The sequence below is a fragment of the Homo sapiens genome, chromosome 9 (genome assembly GCF_000001405.40).
Source record: "Homo sapiens chromosome 9, GRCh38.p14 Primary Assembly".
NCBI lineage: Eukaryota > Metazoa > Chordata > Mammalia > Primates > Hominidae > Homo > Homo sapiens.
The window spans coordinates 135,088,182-135,111,378 of record NC_000009.12 but is presented as its reverse complement, the minus strand read 5'-3'; the positions used below and the strand labels follow the sequence as shown (position 1 = coordinate 135,111,378).

The following is a 23,197-nucleotide window of genomic DNA, read 5'->3' as shown; positions in this document are numbered from 1 at the left end:
GCGAGGCCACCCTGCCCCGAGCACAGCCTCACTCTAATTCGACGACACAGGCTGGAAGGCCCCAAGTTCCTGCCCAAATCCCCTCCCCAACCCATGAGGGTTTCTTTGCCGGAAAAGATAAAGCAACGGGTGGGTTCTTCCTTCTCACGCAAACACAAAATGCATTTGTAAATACCATGCTTTCAGGGGACCAGGCTTCTCCGAAACCGAGGCCCAACACAGCTTCCCATATAAGAAAAACTGGCTGTCTGAACCTCTGCACCGCATTTCAGCCACATGTGGTGCAGTTTACTGAGAACGTGGGATTTTCCTAACTGTCCCGATTACTTTCATCAGCTTCCCAGTGAAGAGGGCCTCTCGGTTCAGGGTAGAGCTGGACGATGGGCACAGATCTGGCACTGCCGTCCCAAATGCCTCTGATGCAGCCCCCGGGAAGTGGGAAGCGGATGCTATTTAAGGGGTCTTGGCGTAGGGACTTGGGCCCGCGCTGGCACTTCCCTTTGGTTTGGCAAGCATCTGTCACATGTCGTCCTGACAGAATTCCTAACATCAAGGAGCCTGGGCCGCTGGAAAAGACACTCTAAAGCGGCCCGTAGCTGAATGGGTGGTGGGAAAGAGGTGGGGGGGATGCTGGCAGTTTCTGCCGGAGGCTCCACTTGGGGAGTGAAGGCTGAAGGGGAACAGACAACGGTTCTCGGTCCTGGGAAGGTCCCTCCTCACACTGAGAAGTGACTGGAAGGGGCGTTGATGTTTATTGCACCACTGGCGGCGGGCGGATCACTGCCTGCACCCACACGGTTTTATGCATTTTGGATATTTCCACCTTCTGGAAAAAAAGATTCCGTGGGATCCTTATAAAATATCTAGATGGCCTTGACGCTGTTTAGATGATGGGAAAGGACTTTGAAACGCTAAGCTAAGCTTGCTGCTGTTTGTAAATGACAGTGTTTTCCTAATTATATCACCCCTTCAAACATGAACTTCCTGGGGTGGTGGGAGTAGCGCTGGCCCCCTTTTTGGTGTCTGGTGTCTGATGTGAGCTGACCTGAGACTTTTATAGGAAGCGGGTCAGAAAGGAGGAGGCAGATGTTGGGCTCTGGAAGGCAGGCCATGGTCAGAGCAGGCCAGAAGCCTCCGAGCTGGGGAAGGGGTCCCAGAACTCATGTGGTCTCCCAGTGGGTGGGAACACAGCCTGGCAGGGCATTCACGCATCAGGTTGAGAGCTGGCCAACCTCCACACAGCCCTTCCCTCCTCCAACACTGAGGCAATGGGACGGGCGGGAAGGAAAGGAGGGGCTGTGGGGCCCGGTGCCCTGGGAAGCGCAGGGGTGGCTTCCTGCTGAGAAGAACTTGGGGGCTCTCAGTGCTCAGCACAGGCCGGACATACAGTCAGTGCTTAATAAATGAATCCAGAAAGACCTGCTGCAAAGGCGTCCCAAGCTAACCTTGTTCTGACAGCTTAGCAAGGCCCTGAAGCTGGCTCAGGACCGTCCCTCCTGTGGTCACACGAACACAGAGATTCTGCAGGTCCCCCTGAGCCGGGCTCTCTACTAGGCAGCCCCATTGAACCTCTCCCCTCTGCCCTTGGCCACACCTGCCTTACAATGCCCTCCGTGGCAGCCTGCACTGAAGCCGACATTGATTTCTTTTTCTTTTTTTTTTGGAGCGAGTTATTGGGCTCCTGTGTGTGTGATCAAAACTGAATGGGAGATTGGAAAAGATCAAAACAAACAAACCACGGCTGGCCTAGATCAATGACAGGACCTGGGGACATGTCACTTAGCACACTGGGAGTTGGAGGCTGTGCTGAGCGTATGGCTTGGAATGGCCGTAGCCGAGGGTGCTCTGAGCAGGCTCCGGGTGGCTCCTCTGCCAGCCCCAGCACCCATCTCCCCCACCCCCTTGCCAGGGATCCCTTCTCCTGCGGCTTCTTCTCCCCACACTCTACCCACCATCAGAGCCTCTTTTCCTGGAGGGCGATCCAGTCATCAAGCAGAAAATAGATGCCTAATGATCAAAAGCATCCATCAGCACCGCGACAGCTTTGCAAACCCACACCCTCGCTGCGCTGTGCAAAGCAAACAGCCGGGGCTTCCAGGAGCCCCAGATCCTTGGTACCTAGAAAAACGATAACTTGACTAGTGCTCCCTACGACAAAGGAAGGTGATACAAAAACAGAAGTCAAGAGGCACACACGTGTGGCGTTAGATACAGACAGAGCAGTCCAGCCCTGGGGGGTGTAAGGTACAGACAAAGCAGTCCAGTCCTGGGGGGTGTTAGATACAGACAGAGCAGTCCAGCCCTGGGGTTGCCCTCTGCAGCAGGGAGGTGACTGCTTCCTGCTCACAGATCTCAATGTGGTCAGCGTGGGTTTGTGGGGTGGTTTTCCTGCTCTGCATAGTGGGGTGGGCCAGATTGCGGGGAGGTGTGGGAAGGGCACTTGTAGGGGGAGGGTGGTATAAGGGACTCGGCTTGGAGTGTCAGTGCATGCTGCAGACAGGCACTCCATGATCCTGAGACCCTTCTGCCTCTGGGCGTGAGAACAGTCTTGTCATCCACACTGAGATGCCAATGACCCCGACGCAGGCAGGTCCCAGGGAGGACAAAGCAGGAAGGGCACGCAGATGGCTGCATGAAGGCCCCGTCCTTCCCCCGCTATTAAGGGAGTTAATGCATGAAAAGAAAGTGCTTTGGACAGCACCTGCACACAGGACACACTCGCTGTTTTTTTTGTTTTTTTTTTTTTGAGACAGAGCCTCGCTCTATCACCCAGGCTGGAGTGCAGTAGCATGATCTCGGCTCACTGCAACCTCTGCCTCCCAGGTTCAAGCGATTCTTATGCCTCAGCCTCCGGAGTCGCTGGGATTACAGGTGCACGCCACCACGCCTGGCTAATTTTTGCATTTTTAGAGAGATGGGGTTTCACCTTGTTGGCCAGGATGGTCTCAAACTCCTGACTTCAGGTGATCCGCCCGCCTCAGCCTCCCAAAGTGCTGGGATTACAGGTGTGAGCCACTGTGCCCGGGCCTGCTTTCTAAGTGCCTGCCAGCATCACCTTGTTTTCTTCTGTATTATGATCATTACAAAAACATCTGTGGCAGGAGCAAGTTCCTAACTCTGAACATAAGTGGGGTTTTCCAGGTGGGATGTGGAATAAAAGAGTGGTCAGAGTCTTCACAGCTAATTAAATTGTTAGAAAACTTCCAAGCCTCAGCTGTCACAATTTAGAAAACAGGACAGAAAAACCTCCCTGACAAACACCCAACACCAATTGTATCCCGGCTCTGCAGTCTGGCCAGCCCTTCCAGATGGGGGCGGGGGCCACTCCCATGCGAGGCTGGGGGATCAAGACACATGCAACAGGCTCTAGCAAGTCTGCCAGTCCCCCTCCCCTCCCCAGCCATCTTCCTGGAAGGAAGGAGTGTGCCAGAGGCCGTACCGCCCATGTTTTAAATATAAGAGATTTCGTGGAAATGGTGGCAATGGTGAAGGAGGGAGGCAAAGAGATCAGAAATCAGAGGGGAGAGAGCTGGGTCCATCCCTTCCTTCAAACCCGCTCCAGATAAAGCTTAGAGGATCTCACATTTCAAAGGGCCTTTCTCAGTCGGCCCAGGGCAGAGCTGGGTTGTTTGTTTTTAAGTGTTTATTTTCTAAGTGTCCTGCAAACCCCTGAAGGAAGGGGTTGCTGGGTGAGAAATGCCCACTCTGGCAGCCAGAGGTCAGTTTGCAAATCAAGGGACAGCGAAGCCCTGACAGCTTCCCTCCCCCATCGAGAGCCTTCAGAGGGTGCTCACTTTGGAGGGAGTCTACAAGCCCATGCTGCCTGTATACAGGGGTCTGGGGCCCAGGGGCCGAGCGAGGCCGGGCCTCACCATCAGTCGGGCAGCCACCCTCACCTCCCCATTTTTCAAAGGGGCTCGAACATAAAACCCAGCCCCCCAGATAAAGGCAAATATGATGCCTGTTTCTCTCTCCTCTTCTGAGGTTTCACCCAGCGGGGAAAAGCCTGGGAAAAAAGAACATGGCCTCTTTCCTAAATCAAAAGGAACATGAGTCTCCATCAGCCATGAAAGGAATGGCAAATGAAATACAAATGAGATGTCATTAAAACAAGAAAGGCCTAATGAATTCTCTTCCTGAAGCAGATGCAAGGACCGGAAAAGTCAGGGCTGGGTTTCGGCTCCAGAGAAATGGACTTGGGGCACCAGCCCAGCCCAGCCCAGCCCAGCCCAGCCCAGCCCAGCCCACCGGGCCGGGGAGGAGGCCTTGAAGGGGTCTACAGCCATGTCATGGGATACCATCAACCTCATGTCACTCCCTGGCCCATGATCTACAGCTCTGGATTAGCATAGAGGCCTGGGTCCCTCCCGAAAGTCTTCCAGGAACAAACGCCCCCAGGCACCAAGCTGCCCAGTCCATAGGCCCTGGAGGGTGGGCGTGGCTTGTACCCATGTCTGGGGCCCACCAGGTGTCCGAGAGCGCCCTTGCCCAAATGACCCCCTATGACATAAGGGGACACTCACCCGGTTATCGCCTTCAGGGGCGAGAGGGTCTGTCATCCAGGATCCGAACCTCGAGCCGGAGGTCTTGACAGTCACGGGGTCACTGATGCCCGTCAACTTCCCGCAAGCTGGAAAAGAGCACGCAGGTCAGGAGAGGGAGGGCGGGGGCCCCGGCCCGCGGTGATGACCCTGACCTCGACTGCCCAGAGCACACGTGCCATGTGGCGGCTTCTCCTCTTGCCCTCGGGGTCTGGGGTACTGTGGAAAGCTGCTCACGCCCTTGTTTTCACAGACAACTCCCCCACTCTCGGAAAAGCCACCTCCTCCCCAAAACAGAGCAGCTGTGGCCAGGATAGCAGGGAAGAGCCGTGGGCAGACGGCCGCCCTCCCAGGCTTCACGCCTCCTCAGCCTGCTGGACCCATGGCCTGGGGATGGGGGTGCTGGAGCAGCACCTCTAGGAGAGGGGGTCAGCTTTGCCAAGACTCAATTTTCTTCTCTTGGAGATGGGAACGCAGCGGCTCCACCCCCAAGGGCATTAGAGGTCATGCCCTGACAGCCCAGCCCGCGTGGGGCACAGTCAGGCCCAGTGTGAGACACTGCATCCAGGCAGGCCCTGTCCCACGATGGAGCAGCAGCACCACCAGCCGCCCCGGAACTGACCCGGGACAAAGGCCACAGCTGCCTTCCCGCAGGAAGAGCCTGCGCGCTTCTCCCACAGGCGTGAGCCGGTTGCTTCTGCCAGTGGGAGGAGCCCAAGCTGGAGCGCACCAGGGCGGATGGGATCCTGGATGTGATCTCAGCAGCCCTCCCGTCTCACAGAGGACCATGGAGGTGAGGAGGGACACACCCGGGCCACCCGGTGATTTGGACTGAGGCTGGAGCCCCCCACACCCCCGAGGGCTCAGGGCGGCTTCCACACCCACTGCACAGGAACAGAACTCCTCCTGCCCGGAGGCCGGTGTGTCTGCGCAGCCACGCAGCTCTTCCAGAATGCACGAGCCTCGGCCGCCCTCTGAAGGGCCAAACGCTCCTGATTCTAACAGGGACCCTGGATGGGAAGTGGGTGGCTTTCCTGGGGAGGGTAGAGGAAGGGCCCCTCCACCACAAGTCCCCGCACCCTGCCCTGTCCCTCCCGGCCAAGCCCGCCTGTGACCTCCTAGGTCTGCGTGGCACCCTCGGTGGGCTTGCACGAGCACACGAGTTCAGAGGCCATCCACGTGTGGGGGAAGACTGCGGGTGAGTGCGCCCGGACCTCGGCTCAGCCAGGATAATCCTGTCGGCAAGCAGGGTGGGGCAGGCTCCAGGCTGGCCCCCGGGAGGACGCGGCCTGGCCACTCCCATGCTCAGCGCGGGTCTCAGGGTGCCTCCCACTCTCTCCCAACTGGAAGTGGCCTGTTACTGGCATCACACAAGACCAGAAAGAGGAACGCTCCCGGCCCTGCCGGCATGGAGGCGTCTCCGATTCTGTGGGTTGGTGGGAGAGCGTGCATCCGGGCACCAGGGCTTTCAGAGGGACGAGGAGCCCACTGCCCACAGAAAAAGACTGGGTTTGCCCCCAAATTCCCATCGAGTCGGGCTGCATTGCTCCAAGGCCCCGGCAACCTGGCTCCCGGGCTGCCGCCTCTGCCCCGATTGGAAGAAGAAATGTCACAGCCCTTCCCTCCCTTCCTCCTCCGTGCGTAGTTCCCCATTCCTACTTTCAGGAGGAATTATGTGCTTTCCCAAGTAAATATTGTCCCCTCATGGCTGGAGGCTTCCTGGCAGTGGGGCCGGGTGAGAGGCTGCCAGGGTCTTCTCGGCCGTGGTCCACACGGGCTCTGGGCCAGGCCATGCTCCCCATCTGTGGGAGGAGAAGCAGCAGAAGAAAGGGATGGAGAGGAGATGGCCACAGCTGACCGGCGTCTATGGGGACGAGAAGTAAGAAGATGTGGGGGGTCTGAGAAGTCTCACAAGAGACTCCTCTTCCAGGAGAGCCCGGCCCAGATTTTCACCCCAGTGCAACTCGCTGGCGGAGAGGTGGAGCTCAGGGCGGCTTCACTAAGGCCCTGGAGGAGCAGGAGGCAGGAGGTGGGAGGGAGGAGCCATGGCTGGGCTCACCCTCCGGCTGCTGGGGGGCCCTGGGCTTCGGGGGAGACAGCAGCTCCCTCTGCACTGGGTGGGCGCTGGGAGAAGCCCTTCACAGCCCCTCTCCAGCCCTCCCTGCCATCCAGAGGCTGGTGTCCCCTAAGACAGTGCCTTGGCCCTGTGAACATCCCGTGAGGACTTTCCACGCCGTGGTTCTGTTAGTTGTCCGGAAGGAGAAGCCTAGAGGAGTGGCGGCCCCATGCTGGGTTTCCATCCAGCAGCGCACACGGGCTCTGGCCACTTCAGCCTCCTCAGTCAACACGCCGGGCCTTCCGTGACGCTGGCCCACACTAACGCCCGGAACCACACCCGCAGCAGACTCATCCCGGTCGCATGACCTACCGGAAGGAGACCAGGTGTCTGCCCTCCACCTTGCAGGCAGCCGGCAGAGGCCAGAGGCAGCAAGTCAGTGCTGGGCTCCTCTCCGCCGCCTGGCCAGAGCCCCGCCCTGCTGGTTCACGCAGCTTTGCTCCAGCTGTCCCTCCACCTGGTGTGCCGGCCCCAGCCCCACCTTCCCACCCACCTTCACTGGCTTGCCCCAAACTGACACCTCTGCCCTAAAGACGTGCCCTTCCTTCACTTTGCCTGGTCTGCCTGTCCTCACTGCAGCCGGAGCCAGCTTCCCACCGTACATCTCATGGGGCTGCCAAGGAATGTCTGGGTCTTACTGCCCCAGGGAAGAAGCTTCCTGCACTCACCCTGTTTCCTCCAAAACTCAGCCTGGGGATTTGTATGGAATGAATTAATGAATGAACGAATGACTCATTGCTCAGAAAAGCCTCCCAAGTCGAAGGCTTCACTCTCTGTCTCAGTGAAGGAGGGAGGGTGACCCTCTTCCCTGGGGGCTGCTGTGTACTCCCTCTCCTTCTCTATAGATGGGCTAATAACAACAGTGCCCCCTCGGAAGGCTGCTGTGAGAATTAGGGCAGGGACCACCAGAGAGCTTTTGGGACAGCACCTGCCACAGAGTCAGAGCTCCACAGAGGTCAGGAGGCATCACTGGGGATTCAGCCTGAGGATGTGCAGAAAAGGCGAGCCCAAGTGGACGTGGTCTTCACCCCTCCCACTTCATCCCGCCCACCCTGGACCTTGCAGTTCTGCTCTCCAGAGGGCGGCTCTGCCCCAGGCCCACCCTGCCGTGGGCCAAGGGCTCCCTCTTCCCTCCTGCATGGGCCCCACTGGCTCAGAGCTGAGCATCACCCTCTCCAGCTCCCTCTTTTAAATGCAAAAGTGACCCCTTGAAATGAGCCTTAAAATCCTGGCTTAGCAAGGGCAGGGAAGGGTGAGGCTGGCTCTGCACCCTGATCTTCCAACTGCTGGCTGTAGGCACAGCTCCCAGGGCCCTTGGGGCTGGAGGCCACCTGCCCTCCTTGAGTCAGGGAGTTATTTTTGGTTCTCCATCCAGACTGCTTCTGCCAAGACCTCAGGAACTGACAGGATCCAAAAAAGCCCATGGCAGAGCCTCAGTGGAATCTTGGCACATGCAGTTCAGGAAAGCGTCCCTCTCCAGTCACGAGCACTCAGGATGCACACACAAGGAGGGAAGAGGAGGGGAGAGGCAGGAGAGGGCTGGCCGGGCTTCCTGCACTGTTGGAGGCTCAGGAAATGGCCCAAACGGGCTCTCTCTCCTAGGAAGGCCTGGGCTTGGAGGGCCAGCATGCTCAGCTGGAGGGGCAGAGGCCCCCCGACGGCCCCAGACGGGCTCAGAGGGCAGAGCGCTGTGCAAGGCCGGGAGCCTGGACAAGCTGATGCCCCTGCGGATGAGACAATCTGCCTCTTGCTATTCACAAGAGGAGGCCACTTCTACGCAGCAGCATGGACGATCTCATAGAACAGGCCCGGGGAGATGCCCACTGAGGACCTCAGGCCAGAGACAGAGGGGTCTCTGGGCAACAAAGGAGACAGACCAGGAGGGCTGAGTGCCCTGAAGCAGGCAGATGGGGTTCCTGTCCTGCTGCCTGTCCTCTGAGCCTATCTCCCTTGGTCACAGCTTTTACCTCCTGCAATCCGGGAAGACTTAAGCTGGAAGAAGTCTGCAAAGCTGGGAACTTGGACAAACCGATGTCCAAAATGCAGATGAAAGAAGCTGAGAACCATGCTGCATCCCCGCCAGGCCTCGAGATCAGACCCAGGGCCTGGGCTGGGGCGGCCACTGAGGAAAGGGTCACGGCAGACCCTCTTCCTCGCATGGCAGGAAGGGCGGGCCTCCAGGAGACTCTCACCGCCTGTCATCTGGAGAACTTCCTGGGAGAAGCCCTGGCCGCCCGGGCCCCACTCAGTCAGTGCTTCTGAGCGGCTTTTTAGATTTTGGTTTATTTCCTCCCCTGTCACTCTAGTGGGTTTTCCTTCAGAATCCACTGGCAAGGGCTTAACTCTCTATCCTTGAACGCACCATGTGTGCTGGTGACAGTGGCTCACTGTCTAGCTCCACTCAGGGCCGGGGGCAGGAGAAGACAGACCCTCTCTCTGCCTGGCTGACCCTTTCTCACATCTCAGGGTCAGGGAACAAGAGGGAGGCTTCAGGTTTGTCTCCCCCAGGACAGAGTGTAGGGCATGGTGCCAGAGCCAAGCACTATGCCCTGCCATCCCGAGCTGGGACGGGGGCCTGCAACTGGACTTGCATCAACCTAGATACCCAGGCAGGCCCAGCTCCCAGCGGCTGACAGGGGACTCTGAAGCTGGAGCCAGCGGGCTTTGTTAAGACGCGTTCCAGTGAAACAAAAAGACCCGACTGACCCTGAAGCCCAGGCTCTGTCTGTGCTTATGGGTGTCTGGGGGCTTCCCAGGCTTTGGGAAAAAAAAGAAACTAAGGAAGCCTTTAGCACCAGAGTGCCAGGATGGTATATCTGGGAGGAGCCCTTCAAATCAGCTGGCCCCCTCACCCCTCATTTATAGAGAGGACCACGGAGGCCTGAAGCTGACAGGCACATGCCACGCCCCGGGAGCTCCATGGGTAGAGCAGCATCGTGCACTGACCCTCACGCTTCTGGCTTCGCTCAGCTTTGCTGCTGGGGCATCTGACTCTGCAGGCTCCCCTGGAGAGAGGGCCCCACGCCCAGCTCAGGGGACGAGGCCAGGGGCACGGGGCAGCACTGACTCTCCCCTTGCCTGGCAACAAGACTTGCTCCAGGGGAACCGGCAAACTGCCTCCTTTCCAGAGGATGCCCGAGAGGAGAGGTTCAGATTCAAGTTTCTGGCTGGGCCATTAGGAAAATCATATAATGCCATCAAAAGAGGGATCTTCAGAATTGGAAACTGAAAACTGATGGAGCCCTGGTCCTTGTTTTCTCTGTTTCTGAGTATGTTCTGGGCTTGTCAGCAACAGTGACTTGAAGAAGGTAGCAGCAAGGAGAGAACTATCAGGAAGACTTTGGGAGAGCCTCTCCTCCAGGCTTACTGCAGGAAGGGAACCCGGACCCTGTTCACTAGACCATGGAACCTGCAGTCACACTTCACACCAGCAGGAACAGCAGGCACACCAAGAAACTGCGGGGTCCGGGACAGGGGAGGAAACTGCCCACTACTGGAGGCCACGTCTCACAGAAGCCCTCACCACCCAGGACGGCCGGCAGCGGGTGCCGGCTCCACCTTGCAGAAGGCCGGGCTCCTCAGCAACCTCCCAGCAAGGGAACAGGCTGCCAGGGTGGTCCTGAGATGGGTACCTATTTGCAAGGCTAAAATGAAGCTAAATTAAGCAGCTGCAGGATATTAATTTGGTGCTTAAGTTACTGAGCTTGAATGAAAGCCTGGGAAGAGGGAGGAGGAAGGTCAGCAGCTGCTAACTCTATCTATGTGTCAATCATCTATCAATCAATCAATCAATCAATCAATCATTTATCTATCTAACTACCTATCCAGTTATCAGTCAGCTGTCATCACCTCTCTATCCATCGACCTACCTGCCTACCAGCACCTCCTCTGCTGGGCACAGTGCTGAGCTCAGGATCTGAAGGACTTCCATGAATTACCATTCCATGAATTACCCCAGAGCTCAGGGACTCCCTGCACCATTTTACAGAGGAGGAGGCAGCTGAAACTCGAGAGGGGAAATGCCTTGGGGGAGTCGCACAGCTATCGAGTGGCATTTACTACCTTACAAAACTGCCTCCTCTAACGGGGGAGCTCAGTTTGCTGTGTGTCAAGATTAGCTGGGTGCTGGCTACGGGCAGATGCCAGGGCCCCACCTGCAGACGCTCTGATTCAGCAGCTCCGCCTACGTGTCGCAGCCCTTCCAAAGAAAGAATTAAACGCAGAGGTGAAACCAGGCAGCTGCACTCCAAAGGTGGGAGAAAGAGGGCCTCTGGAGGCCTGTTAACCCTCTCTCTTTACTCCCAAATCAATGGTGTTAGCAGCCCAAGGACGGCCATGTGATCTCTTTCACAAGACCCAAGATTTTAAGCTGCAAGGTAAACTCACCCAGCTACTAAAAATAGGCCAAGCACAGATGGGAAGGCCAGCTCATCCGGGAGGGGTGGTGCCCCCTCAGAAAGGCCCTTGGCTTCTCACTATTTGCAACTTTTTACTCCAAATCCTCACTTTGCTCCCTTGATTCCTTGATTGGAAAATGTGGAGGTTTTCTCTGGGTTTCTCCATGATGTGCCCTGTCTATTCCAGGGAGGGAAGACACTGCTCATGGGGAAATACATAACAACAACAAAAAGACCCCACCACTGGATTCTTCGGAGGCCGAGGGAGACCCCATAAGTGGGAGTGTTTGGAGGTCCTGGAGAGAGGGGCAATGGTGAGGTCACTCAAGGTCACGATGGGTAGCAAGCCGAAGACAGTACCCAAGGGCAATAGTTATATAGCCCCATGATCGTTAATACAGCCCTATCATCATTAACATTCACACCAACTCCTAGAAAGTCAAACACTCACACCAACTCCTAGAAAGTCAAATTGGGAAGCCATGGTAGAGGCCATCTGGCCCAGACCCCCCTCCTGGGACTGTCTGAGATCACCCAGCCACTGTCATACCAGGGCTGGGCACCATGGAGCACAGAGCTGAAAGAATGCAGTTAGCAGCCCCCGTGAGACACAGCCAGCATGCACACATCAAAATGGATTAGTTCTCTGACTCCAAGCATTTCTTATTGTCTCTGTTTCGGGACTGGGGAATTTAAAGCTTTGTGCGTTCACTGAGGACACCTAGAAGAGCGTTTAAAAATCACCTAAATTGGGAACCTGGGAAACCAAGGGTTTGGCTGACTCTTTTCTTTCCCCTTGAATATTCTCTCTCTTCACCTGACTAACATTAGAGGTTTTTTTTTAAAGTGTTCTTTTTGGATGTTTTAGGTTTATAGTAAGGCACTTGGAGTGTGTGTGTGTGGAAGGGAGAGTAGAAATAAAAAGGTAATCCAGTTAGAACATCAGAGAAAGCCTGAGATAAACTTCATAAGGCAAAATCACCCTAAAATTACCCTAAGTTACCCTAAAAAGTAGGTAGTATGAAAACAACAACCTTTGTGTTATTAAACAAAAAACAAAAAACAAAAACAGCTTGGTGAGGACGGATGGCTAATATTTCTTAAGAAAAATTAAAAGTGGAATTGGGATTTGAAATGTGCTATTTAAAAGCAGACTCAGACACTAATGTGTTAATATTTCTCCTAGTAATTAACTGGAAAGTTGATAAGGTGAATGGGTAATCAATCAGAAATAAGAATCCAAATGGGTCACCCCACACTGGGGGTCTTTCTTAGGAAACACACCCGAGGAAGGGGTTCATTTGCTCAGAGGCTCCTCCCCTTCCAGGCTGTGAGCAGGGGCTCCCTCCCGTGCTGTGAATGGCAGCTCTACTGAGATGTGATTGAATTTTGTTCCCTTTTTTATTCAAACTATGCATGATTCAATATTTCAGGAGCTCCACCAGCCCCCGTTCTCAATCCGGAGGAATCTGAGATGTTATTGCCAGCCCTATTAAACTGGTGTCTTCAATGCACACACACATACGATTCACACACACACACACAATCTGCCAGATGGTATGCTATTTTTTTCCAGATGTGCGACTCAGCGGGGTCTGTGGCCTCTGCACAAGACCCGGCTCTGAACAATGCCCTAGGATGGGTGTGGCCTACGCTCCTCCTTTGCTGTCTCTCAAGGTAGACCTGCCCAGGAGCCCTAATCCAGCCATCACCTCGCGAAGCCAGGCGGGCGCTGTCCACTTCAGCACCACTCCCTAAGCCTGTGCGTGTGCCGGAGGTGGGCAGTGCAGCGCCACGTCCCGCAGGGTACTGGGCCTACCTAGTTTTTGCATGCATGCACGGAGCCTTTCTTCAAGATTGGACACTCTGCTCTGAAGTTCATCGTAGTCATAGGCGCCAATTTCCTCTTGCAGCTCGTTAAGCACTGACGTCAGATTCTGGACCTCCTCTTTAAACTGCAATACCAATTTGGCATCGGCCTTGTACTCTTCCAACACAGGTATCAAAGGCCTAAGTTCATCCATTTTCGCTTTTATCGCCTGCAAGGTTAAAATAAGCTGGTTCAGTGCGATGCATGCAAGAACTCTCACACCCTGCCTTGGCCTGGCTTCTCCCTAGGTGAGGGAAAGTGTGTATATTCCCGCTTTATTTACAGGCTTATTTGTTCTGGTCCAAATGAGTTAGAAGAGCATATTAAACAGTCCTCAGAACACCAGCATATTTGGGAAAGGTCTTTATTGTCAGTTTAGAATGCAACATCTTAAGGTTACATGCTTTGAGTCACATACACGAAGTTTTTTTTTTCTTTCTTTTTCAAAAAATGCATTGACAAGGGTTCAAACTATTCATGAAATGCAGCTACAGTCGCATGCAAAGGAGGATCCTGGTTGTATTCAAGGTTCCTTAGTGAAATGGTGCTAAGTATTGGAAAATAATAGTAAAAATGCATGGTGCAAAAAGCTCTCTGGCTCTCTTTCATGGTTACATGGGAGTGGACTGCTTCTTCAGTCACTGCAGCATTGAAAAAACTCTTTTAAGTTAGCCCTGCAAGTAAGAAAATGAAATACCGTTGAAGAACTAGCTCACTAGCCTGCCTGAAACAGACAGCCATCAGGAAACACATATTTGCATGGTCAGTTAGAAAAATCCCACTGTAATGCTCGAGTTAGTCAAAACAAACTGCTTTAAGAGTTATTGAGATTCCCTCGTCACAATTTCTGTTGGAATTTTTTTAATGCGGTTTAGCACAGTATAGGCAAGCGCTTGCTTTTCTTCCCCCAGAGCCACAGCACCCCAAAATTGGAAACTCGGAGAGATGCCTGTGTCAACAACGTTTGCCAAGATGAGCTACCTCCCAGTTGCTGAAGACACCCCCCTCGTTAGAGGAGTCTGCTGGCCGCAGAGAAGGGAGTGCTGGCTCAGAGACATAAATGCTTTTTTGGTTAGACAGGTCAACATCTCTCCCTCCAGAGTAATTCATGATGACCAGCCAGATGCGAGGACAAAAATGTCCAACTGCCTCTGATGAGCACAATCGGCTCATTTCACCTCAACAGGATTGGGCCTGCTATTATTTTATTTATAATATAGATTTATAATTTCATTAGCTTGCCATTTCATCTATTTAATGTATCATTTTTAAAAGAGAATTAGTTCTTGCCTCATGCAGGGAGCACATCGAAGAAAAACATTAGCATAAAAAGGACGGGAAGACAGAGACAGAGTACACCAGCAGTTTCTAGTCGGGCGAGGCTGTGTAATTTGACCTGTTCATTTACATCTGGGCTGGATTTCTAATTAAAATGCATGTATACCTTCATTAAGGCGGCATATAACGTTTCAGTCGAATCGCACTGAGATGGAGTCAACTGTGGGCATCTCTCTACCTGGCTGCACATCTGTATCTATGATTTTAGGTCAAACAAACACCAGTTTTAATGTCCAGAGTTACCCGGAGAAGCAGAACACTTCCCACGAGGTGGAAAGGAGGCTGGCATCTCTCTCTTTTTTCCCTGCAAGTCTATGGTATGCTTTGTCATGGCTAGATTAGGTCAGATGTGAAAACTGCCCTGAGAGATTCCTGCTCCAGAATGGCCCTCATCAATTCAGCTAATCTTTGGCTAATGTGATTTACCTGCAGCAGCTGCAGAATGACAAGGGCCAATAACGATGTCCCTTCCCAGCTAATATTCGACTTGGCTCGGGCAGCGCAGGATCTCAGACCCCTGGCTTCCAAACCACACTGACGGGGGCTTGGGGGCGAGTGTATGCTGCTGCCACCACTCAGGCCGCCCCTGTCAAGGTGGCTTCTGCCAAGCCAGGGCCAGTGGTGGCCTCCCTACTGCCAAGGGCAACAGTCCTTTCAAGGCACAGAACAACCTTTGCTATGCTTCTCCCTGCCCCAAATGACCATTTCTGTAGGGAAAGGGAGAGCATGAAGGGAAAGCACACCCAGCCTCAGAGGAGGAGAAGAAGGAGAGGGAGGAGGAAGAGGAGGAGAAGAAGGAGAGGGAGGAGGAAAAGGAGGATGAAGAGGATGAGGGGGAAGAGGAGGAGAAGAAGGAGAGGGAGGAGGAAGAGGAGGAGAAGAAGGAGAGGGAGGAGGAAGAGGAGGATGAAGAGGGGGAGGAGGAGGAAGAGGAGGAGAAGAAGGAGAGGGAGGAGGAAGAGGAGGATGAAGGGAGGAGGAGCAAGAGGAGGAGAAGAGGAGGAGGAAGAAGAGAAGGAGGAGAGGAGGGAGGGGAAGGAGGAGGAAGAGGAGGAGGAGGAGGATAAGGGGAGGGAGAGGGGGAGGAACATGCATACCTTAAACTGCCTGGCCAGGTGTTGCTTATGACTCTCCTCCACCTGTTTGAACTTGGACTCCAGTCCTTTCATTTGGTTCTCCATCTTCTCCACGTACTGCAAGTCTCTCTGGGTCCGCCTGTCCAAGACCTCTATGGATTGAGACATGTTCTGCACCTGTCAAAAGGGCAACAGGTTCAGCAAAACAGCCGCAGTAGGTGCCAGGCAATCTTCTCTGCCTGCTCGTACAGACATTGCCCTTTCCCACACAGCCAGCACACTGGGAACCAGAAGTGGCCCATGCATTATTTACAAGGTAATCGCCAGCATCGCGGACTGTGAGGACTGATAACTCCCCAAACACAGCAAATTGGTTGGGTAAACATTTTCTTTGCCAACCTGTTCTTATCATCAGGGATGCAAATCAGGGGTGTAGGAGACTCAAGTTCCGTTATTCGCTGTAGCTCCAGGCACAGGCTGGGTGATTTCTCTTGATCTCTCTCTCTCTCTTTTTTTTTTTTTTTTGGTAGTGGTGGGTGGGGATTGTTCCTAGTCTTTCTGTTGCAGGACAACATTAGTTAGGCAAGCATAAACACCAGCAGAGAGGAATGGCACTCTTAGGCTGCCCCGCCCCCAGGTATAAATTCTCCTTCTTCCTAAATCTCATTGACTGTCTTGCTGATAAGGTTGATTACTTAAGTGCAGAGTGAAGGAACAAGGGAGCTGCTCTCCCTGACTCTGCATCAAGCTTTTTTCCCTATCTGCTATGCCATCCATCACACCCCACAGTATCATAGGTAGATGACTGCTCTGCAAACATGTACATTCTGAGCATAGAGTCAGGAATCAATCACCCAGCAAATGAAGAATCGCTGTTTTACATCTTTACAGGCAGATCTGAATTGAGTCTAGCCTCAAGATGGAACTTTAATATTCAACAGGATTCCAGGGAGCTTAAAAGAAAAACAGTTTTAGTGCAGCCACCTGCCAGTGCATTTTATTTGCAGGAAACTGGTGTGTGCTTCTGTGCAAATGCATTCGGGGCTGCGGGGAGGCGGGAGGAAGCTGAGGATTGCTGCAGTGGTGTTTGGGTCATTTTCTCAGAATCTAATCCAATTACTAGAGAGGAAGTTACCTCCATGACAGCAAATCTTCACTCCTGACTTTTCTGCTGAATTTGAAAATACTCTCCCTTCTAGGAACAAAATCATTTGGGGATGAGGCTTAGCTTTGCCGGTCAGTGTGAAAAGAGGACAGTGTGGTTTCTACTTCTTACTATACATCCTCCACCCCGCCAAATAAAGTAAAATACAAGAGAGCAAACCAAGCCTCCTCAGTAGAAGGAAAACCACTATTGCCAATCTCAGCACCCCAAAATGCAAGGAATTTCATATCTTGTTATCAGAAAGTAACACACACAAACTCATCTTGAAATTTTAAGTTTGTAAAGTACACGACGGGGTGGCTTCAGCTCCCTCTCACCCCTTCTCTTCCCCGAGAAACGGAAGCATACCTCTAATACCACCTGCCTGATTCTCTTGTTGTCTTCCTCTGTCACTTTGAATAACTACAGCACCTTTTTCAAGAAAAGATGTAAAGTTTGTCTATATTCGTCCTTCAAGGCCCAGCCCAAATGCCACCTCCTCCAGGGAGGCTTCTCTGATGGACTGAGTTAAAACTAGCTGCAAACTATTTGGAAACAACAACGTCACTTTGTTGGCACAATGTCTGCCTAGGAGTGAGCCACACAGCTGTCCCCCCACAGCTTTCCGGACAGGATGCTCATGGGGGGAGTGACACTGGGTCTCATCCACATCTGTAACCCCTGCACAAAGTCCAGTAAATCTAGTGCACGGGAGTAGCTCCTGCAGCCACATGGCCGGAGGAAGCAACAATACAAATGGCGGCGCCAGTCCAGACCCCTCTCTCCATTCCCCTCCTGGCAAAATCCCCAGGAGCGAAGGCCCACAAGTGCCGAGGAGAAGCTGCTGAGCTCATGCTGGCCTCAGTCAGGAGACCACACACGGTGCTGTAGGCTTTTTGCTCCCCAGAGAAGGAATGCTTTTAAAAGATTTCAAAGATTAGACTTTAGATTTAAAAAACAAATTTTAAAGATACCAAGCTATTCAGCTGCCTTAAAACCAAACAATTACTCTCCTATAGTTCTCCTAACCCTGAATGCACTTTCCTTTCTGGCCATGGACAAGGCACAGGCACAGGTCTGCCTCCAGCTCACAGTCAGTCTAGGACTGCAATCACGCACCCATCTCCCAACCCTAGGGAAGGCATTCCTCTGAGCACAGCCCTTCCTCTGAGCACCTTCATTTTCTTGCCTGCAGGATGTGTCTCTGAGGAGCCAACTGGCAGGCTCAGGGTCACAGAGCTACGGGATGACAGTCTATCCCACACCCTACCCAACGGGGCAGCAGGCATTAAGAAGCGGGAGGGGGGCCAGCAACACACAAAGACACACCTGGCCTCAAGATAACTAACAGCTAATAATTATCCATCCTTTCCCATGTTCCAGGCACTGCACTGAGTCTGCTGTGTTATTTATCTCATTTGATCTTTACAAAACCCCGGGAAATGAATAAGTACTATTTTGAGTCCCATTTTACACATAGGGAGACCAAGGCTCAGAGAAGTTAAGCAACTTGCTTACTGTCACCCAGCCAGGAGGCCTGCCAGTTCAAGCTGGACTGGCTCCAAAGCCTACACTCTCAAACCCAGAGCCAAGTGCTTCTTCAAAGAGAACGGAGCCCGTGCCACACGCCTGCCACTATCTGTGTCCCTACAGTGCTCGACCCTAGCTGCATGGAACTACCTGGTGAGGCTTCCAGGGCTGTACATACCTGGGTTCCCCACAGGGACCCCAGGGCAACAGAAATCAGAGACTCTGGAGGTGGGGCCTGGGACTCAGTACCTTGCAGCCTCACCAGGTGGGTTAAAGGTGAAGCCAGGGCACAGAAATACCGACCTGGCTGGAATATGCTCAGCTGTGACCCAGCCCTATCAACAGGGCACATGGGCTGAGGTTTCTGGAGCACCCTGTCCTGCTTCTGCCCATGAAGAGAAAGCAAGAGAAGAAAAGAGAAAGAGGAAAGAAAGAAAATAGCACACAGGCCAGGGTGTGCGGGGGAAGCTGAGGACGGAGCAGCGCTGCCTCCTGCTAAAATGCACAGTGCATTAAGGAGCAAGGGCCCTCTTTCATAGCAAATGGCTCATGCCCTCTGAAAATAGAGTGCCCGCTATGGTATCAAATGGGGCTTTAAATTTTTAAGCAGTAATGCTGTGGCACGCACAGGCAGGAAGGAACATTCCAGGGCCTGCAGTCCCAGGGGCTCATGGAGCATTCTGGAATCCATTTCCCAACTCTCTGCTCTCCCCGCAAATGCCTCCTCCCTGGGCTCAGGGCTCTGTTTTCCCCTCCTGACTCTCGCCGGCCCCCACAGCCCAGAGGCCCCTCCAAGTGCCGCCTCCCCCATCTAAGCTTCTGAATAATTAAAGGCTCAGTTAGGCTTTGGTCTAGTTTGGTGTTAATAAATGTTGGTGGAATGTTAAATGTATCTTACTTTAATTCTTTTAAAATGATTTACTCAGGTGGCTAAAGAAAAAACAAATTCTATTCCTTCAAGGTGAGCGTGCTTTACGAACTAGGCCAGTTGCCCTGCGTACCATGATGCATCCTTCTTGCCCAAGAAACAAGGGTCCTGTGGCCATTCCAGACAGGGACTGGGACACAGAACAGGCAGTGACTCGGACCTTTCAAGGCCCGTCAGAGCTGGGTGGGCACTCGAAACCTCTAGCCCACCCTCTCCTTCTCCAAGGAAGGGGACTTGCTTTGTCTCGAGCTTCCTGAGGGTTTGTGGTTCAGCACCAGGAATGTGGACCCGAGTCGGGTCAATGCTGTCCTCTCACCAGGCTGCTCCCACCTTCCCCAACGAGGTGGGCAGTGACAGCACCATCTGTCCCCCCAGCACGGAGCCAGCCCTGAGTCACAGAGGCCCCCCGCCCCTCACAGGCCTCCTGCCATACTCCTGAGCTGACGCCCATTCCAGAAAGTCCAAGGCCAACCTGCAGGAAGAGTCACGGCTTTACTATTGTGTGTGTGTGAACGTGTGTGACTATGTGTGTGTGTGTGTGACTATGTGTGAGTGTGTGTGTGACTGTGTGTGAGTGTGTGTGACTATGTGTGAGTGTGTGTGTGACTGTGAGTGTGTGTGACTATGTGAGTGTGTGTGACTGTGTGACTATGTGTGAGTGTGTGTGTGACTGTGTGAGTGTGTGTGACTATGTGTGGGTGTGTGTGACTATGAGTGTGTGACTATGTGTGAGTGTGACTGTGTGTGTGTGAGACTATGTGTGAGTGTGTGACTGTGTGTGTGTGACTATGTGAGTGTGTGTGACTATGTGAGTGTGTGTGACTGTGTGACTATGTGTGAGTGTGTGACTGTGAGTGTGTGACTGTGTGTGTGTGTGACTATGAGTGTGTGACTATGTGAGTGTGACTGTGTGACTATGTGTGTGTGAGACTGTGTGAATGTGTGTGTGACTATGTGTGAATGTGTGTGACTGTGTGTGAGTGTGTGTGTGACTATGTGTGAGTGTGTTTGTGAGTGTGCGTGTGTGTGGTGTGACCCCACTCCCTCAGGGTGGGAAAGTTCCCTGCCCATAGGCACTACATGCAAATGCACCTTTCTTCTGGGGAATCAATGGGTGGAACAGAAGGGCCCACCATTCCTCCTTGTTCCCTTGGTAACTCTCCTATGGGGCCCCCAGAACCCAGGTTAACCACAGAATACGGGGTCCTTGGGTGGAATGTGCCAAAAGGCTGGTGGGCTGTGCCCATTAGGAGAAGGCCCCCTGACTAAAGTGGGGAGTGGAGGAGACTGAACCAGGTGATGAGCTCGGCCATGTGGGTCCGAGTGCCCACTTCCCTACTAACAGCTGTTTGGCTTGGGACAAATAAGTCCACCCCTTGGGAGCCAAATTTCCTTTTCTTGAACTGGAGTGAAAAATCTCACCAACTTCACATGGTTCTTGTGAAGATTAAGTGAAATAACGGATTCAAAATATGTTATGCAAACGACATATGCAAACCTGCTGTTCCCATGTGGTTCTGAAGGTGACAGCATGGCCTGCTTTAGCCCCAGGAAGGCATTCATGGTGATGAGCACCTGTCCAGCCACTGGCCAGGTACAACCATTCAAGGGCAGAAAAAAGATCTCATCTCGTAAAATCCAAATGGCCATGCATTCCTGGGCCTATGGGCGCTCTCCAAGGTAGCTGCTGGGTGACAGCCCCAGCCCTGTGCACACAGATTATGACATCACTCAGAGACGAGCCTTGTGTCCCGTCTCACCATGCCCATGTGACTTCTCAGTGGAGCCTGTGGTGACAGGGGGCAGGTCTAGTCCTCTCTTCCTGGACCACCCTTGGAAGTCTCAATCCACCTGTGTGTCCACCCACCCATCCACCCATCCGTCCATCCATCCACCCACCCATCCACCCATCCGTCCATCCACCCTTTCACTCATTCACAAATATTTTGAGTGGAGACAAACCAGGAAAGAGTCAAAATGGGGCCTGCAAGCTAGCCAAGCCTTGGTGCTGGTGTGAGCACACAGGCATGTACACACACACACACACACACAAACACACACACATACAAACTCACACACTCTGCGCAGACTCACCTTCTCCAGTAGCTGCCTCAGCTGTTTTGTGCGGGCATCCCGTGAACACATGGTCTGCTGTGGAGCGACCACTGTGCAGATACACCTGCCCTCGCTGTCCTGGGCAGAGCTGTACACCTGCCAGCTCTCCTCAGGGTTGGTGGGCAGCACCTGGAGAGGGGCGGGGCGGGAAGGGAGAGGGAAGGAGAGAAAGGGAGACCATGAGGTTGTGTATCAGAGCCAACAACCAGGGGAAACTGTCCACATCCACCCCCAAGGAAAAGATGGGAGGAAATGGTCCCAAGACATGTTTGACCCAAAGGGAAGAAAGGGTCCCTGGGAACAAAGAGGCACAGGTCTCCTGTTAGGGGGCTCAGGGCTGGAAGGATGTCAAAGAGGCAAGACCCTTTACGTTCTTAAAATTTAAGTTCAACTCAAGGGATGTCTGGAGTTTGTCGTCTGGCCAAATTGATCTGCTGGGTGGATGGGAGGGGCAACTGGAGGCCACAGGCTGGACTAGGAGCAAGGCAGGAAAGCAAACGCTGGGTGGCTTGCAGCGGGCACGTATTTCAGAAACAGGATATCCTTCCCGTAAGTCAAGCACGGGTGGCTGGCACCACCAAGCCTCGCCCTGCCGTTCCCTGACACTTGCAGACGAAGCACCCACTGTAACAGCCCCAGATCCAGCAGCCTATTCGCCCAGAGCTGTGATGAACCCCGAGCTACAGCAACCTCCCAGCCGGCAGCGTGGCACAGACCGACCCGAGAAAACACTAGGTTTCCAGCTCCTTGTGGGCTCCCCCCACGAGCCATTTGGTGGAGGTCGCCAAATTGCTGGTGACATGCTGTGCAGGGGTCACCCCCAACCTCAGTCCTGAGGTTTGCCCAAAGATCACCAAAGAAACCGGAGCTGCCCATGTCTGGTCTAACCTTGCAGCCCAGCCCTGCCAGGTACCGGGGCGGGCACTCCTGAGCCTACACAGCTCCATCCTGCTGCTGGCCCTACTGTCTCTGAGCACGCTCCCCTCCGGTGGCATCAGGTCATCTCTCTGCTATTTTTAGCATGAAGATGGGGAGGAGAAGTTGGGCGGGTAGAATCTATAGTAGTCATATCTTTAATCTCATTCATTCCCAACCCCAGAAGATCGGGACCGGCAGGCCGGAACAAAGTCATCATGGAGGAATCGCCCTCCGATTCCTGAAGGAGCAGGGAGGGCGGCCTCAAGAGGGGTCTTAGGAGGGAGCCACACCACGGAGCCCTCTTCGCAGGGCACTAAACCCCTGGCAGCAAAAAGAGAGAGGGAGGGAGACTCACGTCCTTCACCTCTCCTTTCAGCCTAAAGGGCCAGTGGTCTGGGGCGCGCCTTCCCGGCAGCGGCCCCTTCCCCGCGCGGCCCTCCGGGTGGCGGTTTCAGCTCAGCCTCGCTCAGCCATCTAAGTCAGCTCTGCCCAGAAGCAGCCCCGGCCACGGTTCCCCTCCCGCTAGGCTCGAGAGGGAGACGCGATTTCAATTTCAGAGGCCAGGAGGGAGGGGTGCGCGCAGAAGACGAAGGCAAAGGCGAGGGGGTGAGCGCCCAAGGGCAGGCTCCCAGGGGCCCCACCCAAGCCCCTCGGCACCGTCCTCGGAGGAGAAGGAACAAACCCTCCTATGGACTGGGGAGGAAAGGGCGCCTTGGGACTTTGGGAATGCAGGCGCGGGCAGGAGCTCCGGAGCCCACCGGCTGGGGCCCCACTCCCAGCCCGGTCCGGCCAGTCTGGCTTTTACAAACTAGGGCGGGCTCAGTCCCCGCTGGACCGAGCCCAGACTAGGGTCTAGCGGCGGCTCCACCCCTCACTCGCTGAGTGTGACCTTGGACAAGTCCCCAAGTCCCCAGCCTTAGTTTCCTAACCTTTTCAATGGGGGGCTCATGATTACTGACCCAGGACTCCAAGCCTCCGAGAACCCACCAAGCTCCCCCGGCCCCGCGGCGAGGGGCCCAGACGAAGGAAACGCCGCCCCAGGGGCGCGCGGGCGGAGATGGAGTGGCCCAGGCTGGGGGAGCGGGGAGCAGGGTCGCCACCGCTGCGCCGGCCCGCGACGCCTGCCCTTGCCCGCCCTGCTCCCCGCCGCCTCCCTGGGCGACTCGGGTCCCGCGCGGCGCCCGCCCAGCCCGGGGCTCCGGACCGAGGAGGGGGAGGAGGAGG

At 54.2% G+C, this 23,197-nt stretch overlaps 1 protein-coding gene across 4 annotated transcripts in view, besides 9 other annotated features; it reads right to left on the bottom strand.

The window, feature by feature from the left end:
- Positions 1–23,197, bottom strand: part of OLFM1 (olfactomedin 1) — a 45,680-nt gene that overhangs the window by 9,806 nt on the left and 12,677 nt on the right. For 3 of the 4 annotated variants that reach the window (NM_014279.7, NM_001282612.1, NM_001282611.2), the window contains exons 2-5: positions 21,035–21,184; positions 15,360–15,515; positions 12,874–13,093; positions 4,524–4,630 (exon numbers count right to left, since the gene is read on the bottom strand). In NM_014279.7, coding sequence (NP_055094.2) covers positions 4,524–4,630; positions 12,874–13,093; positions 15,360–15,515; positions 21,035–21,184 — 633 coding nt within the window. Of the gene's footprint in view, positions 1–4,523; positions 4,631–12,873; positions 13,094–13,274; positions 13,599–15,359; positions 15,516–21,034; positions 21,185–23,197 lie in introns of those variants that run through there. The other variant, NM_006334.6, reaches the window with a different exon arrangement.
- Positions 2,023–2,582: an enhancer, noted in NCBI's record as "H3K4me1 hESC enhancer chr9:138000643-138001202 (GRCh37/hg19 assembly coordinates)". NCBI's record gives its function as "activates a minimal SCP1, AML or CMV promoter by ChIP-STARR-seq in primed H9 embryonic stem cells {active_cell/tissue: H9 hESC(primed)}" and the evidence as "EXISTENCE:reporter gene assay evidence [ECO:0000049][PMID:30033119]".
- Positions 2,583–3,144: an enhancer, noted in NCBI's record as "H3K4me1 hESC enhancer chr9:138000081-138000642 (GRCh37/hg19 assembly coordinates)". NCBI's record gives its function as "activates a minimal SCP1, AML or CMV promoter by ChIP-STARR-seq in primed H9 embryonic stem cells {active_cell/tissue: H9 hESC(primed)}" and the evidence as "EXISTENCE:reporter gene assay evidence [ECO:0000049][PMID:30033119]".
- Positions 3,881–4,406: an enhancer, noted in NCBI's record as "H3K4me1 hESC enhancer chr9:137998819-137999344 (GRCh37/hg19 assembly coordinates)". NCBI's record gives its function as "activates a minimal SCP1, AML or CMV promoter by ChIP-STARR-seq in primed H9 embryonic stem cells {active_cell/tissue: H9 hESC(primed)}" and the evidence as "EXISTENCE:reporter gene assay evidence [ECO:0000049][PMID:30033119]".
- Positions 4,932–5,457: an enhancer, noted in NCBI's record as "H3K4me1 hESC enhancer chr9:137997768-137998293 (GRCh37/hg19 assembly coordinates)". NCBI's record gives its function as "activates a minimal SCP1, AML or CMV promoter by ChIP-STARR-seq in primed H9 embryonic stem cells {active_cell/tissue: H9 hESC(primed)}" and the evidence as "EXISTENCE:reporter gene assay evidence [ECO:0000049][PMID:30033119]".
- Positions 5,458–5,982: an enhancer, noted in NCBI's record as "H3K4me1 hESC enhancer chr9:137997243-137997767 (GRCh37/hg19 assembly coordinates)". NCBI's record gives its function as "activates a minimal SCP1, AML or CMV promoter by ChIP-STARR-seq in primed H9 embryonic stem cells {active_cell/tissue: H9 hESC(primed)}" and the evidence as "EXISTENCE:reporter gene assay evidence [ECO:0000049][PMID:30033119]".
- Positions 12,749–13,250: an enhancer, noted in NCBI's record as "H3K4me1 hESC enhancer chr9:137989975-137990476 (GRCh37/hg19 assembly coordinates)". NCBI's record gives its function as "activates a minimal SCP1, AML or CMV promoter by ChIP-STARR-seq in naive H9 embryonic stem cells {active_cell/tissue: H9 hESC(naive)}" and the evidence as "EXISTENCE:reporter gene assay evidence [ECO:0000049][PMID:30033119]".
- Positions 19,269–19,426: a silencer, noted in NCBI's record as "fragment chr9:137983799-137983956 (GRCh37/hg19 assembly coordinates)". NCBI's record gives its function as "represses an EF-1alpha promoter that drives an FKBP-Casp9 reporter gene in an ReSE screen in HepG2 liver carcinoma cells {active_cell/tissue: HepG2}" and the evidence as "EXISTENCE:reporter gene assay evidence [ECO:0000049][PMID:32094911]".
- Positions 21,447–22,250: an enhancer, noted in NCBI's record as "H3K4me1 hESC enhancer chr9:137980975-137981778 (GRCh37/hg19 assembly coordinates)". NCBI's record gives its function as "activates a minimal SCP1, AML or CMV promoter by ChIP-STARR-seq in naive H9 embryonic stem cells {active_cell/tissue: H9 hESC(naive)}" and the evidence as "EXISTENCE:reporter gene assay evidence [ECO:0000049][PMID:30033119]".
- Positions 22,251–23,055: an enhancer, noted in NCBI's record as "H3K4me1 hESC enhancer chr9:137980170-137980974 (GRCh37/hg19 assembly coordinates)". NCBI's record gives its function as "activates a minimal SCP1, AML or CMV promoter by ChIP-STARR-seq in primed H9 embryonic stem cells {active_cell/tissue: H9 hESC(primed)}" and the evidence as "EXISTENCE:reporter gene assay evidence [ECO:0000049][PMID:30033119]".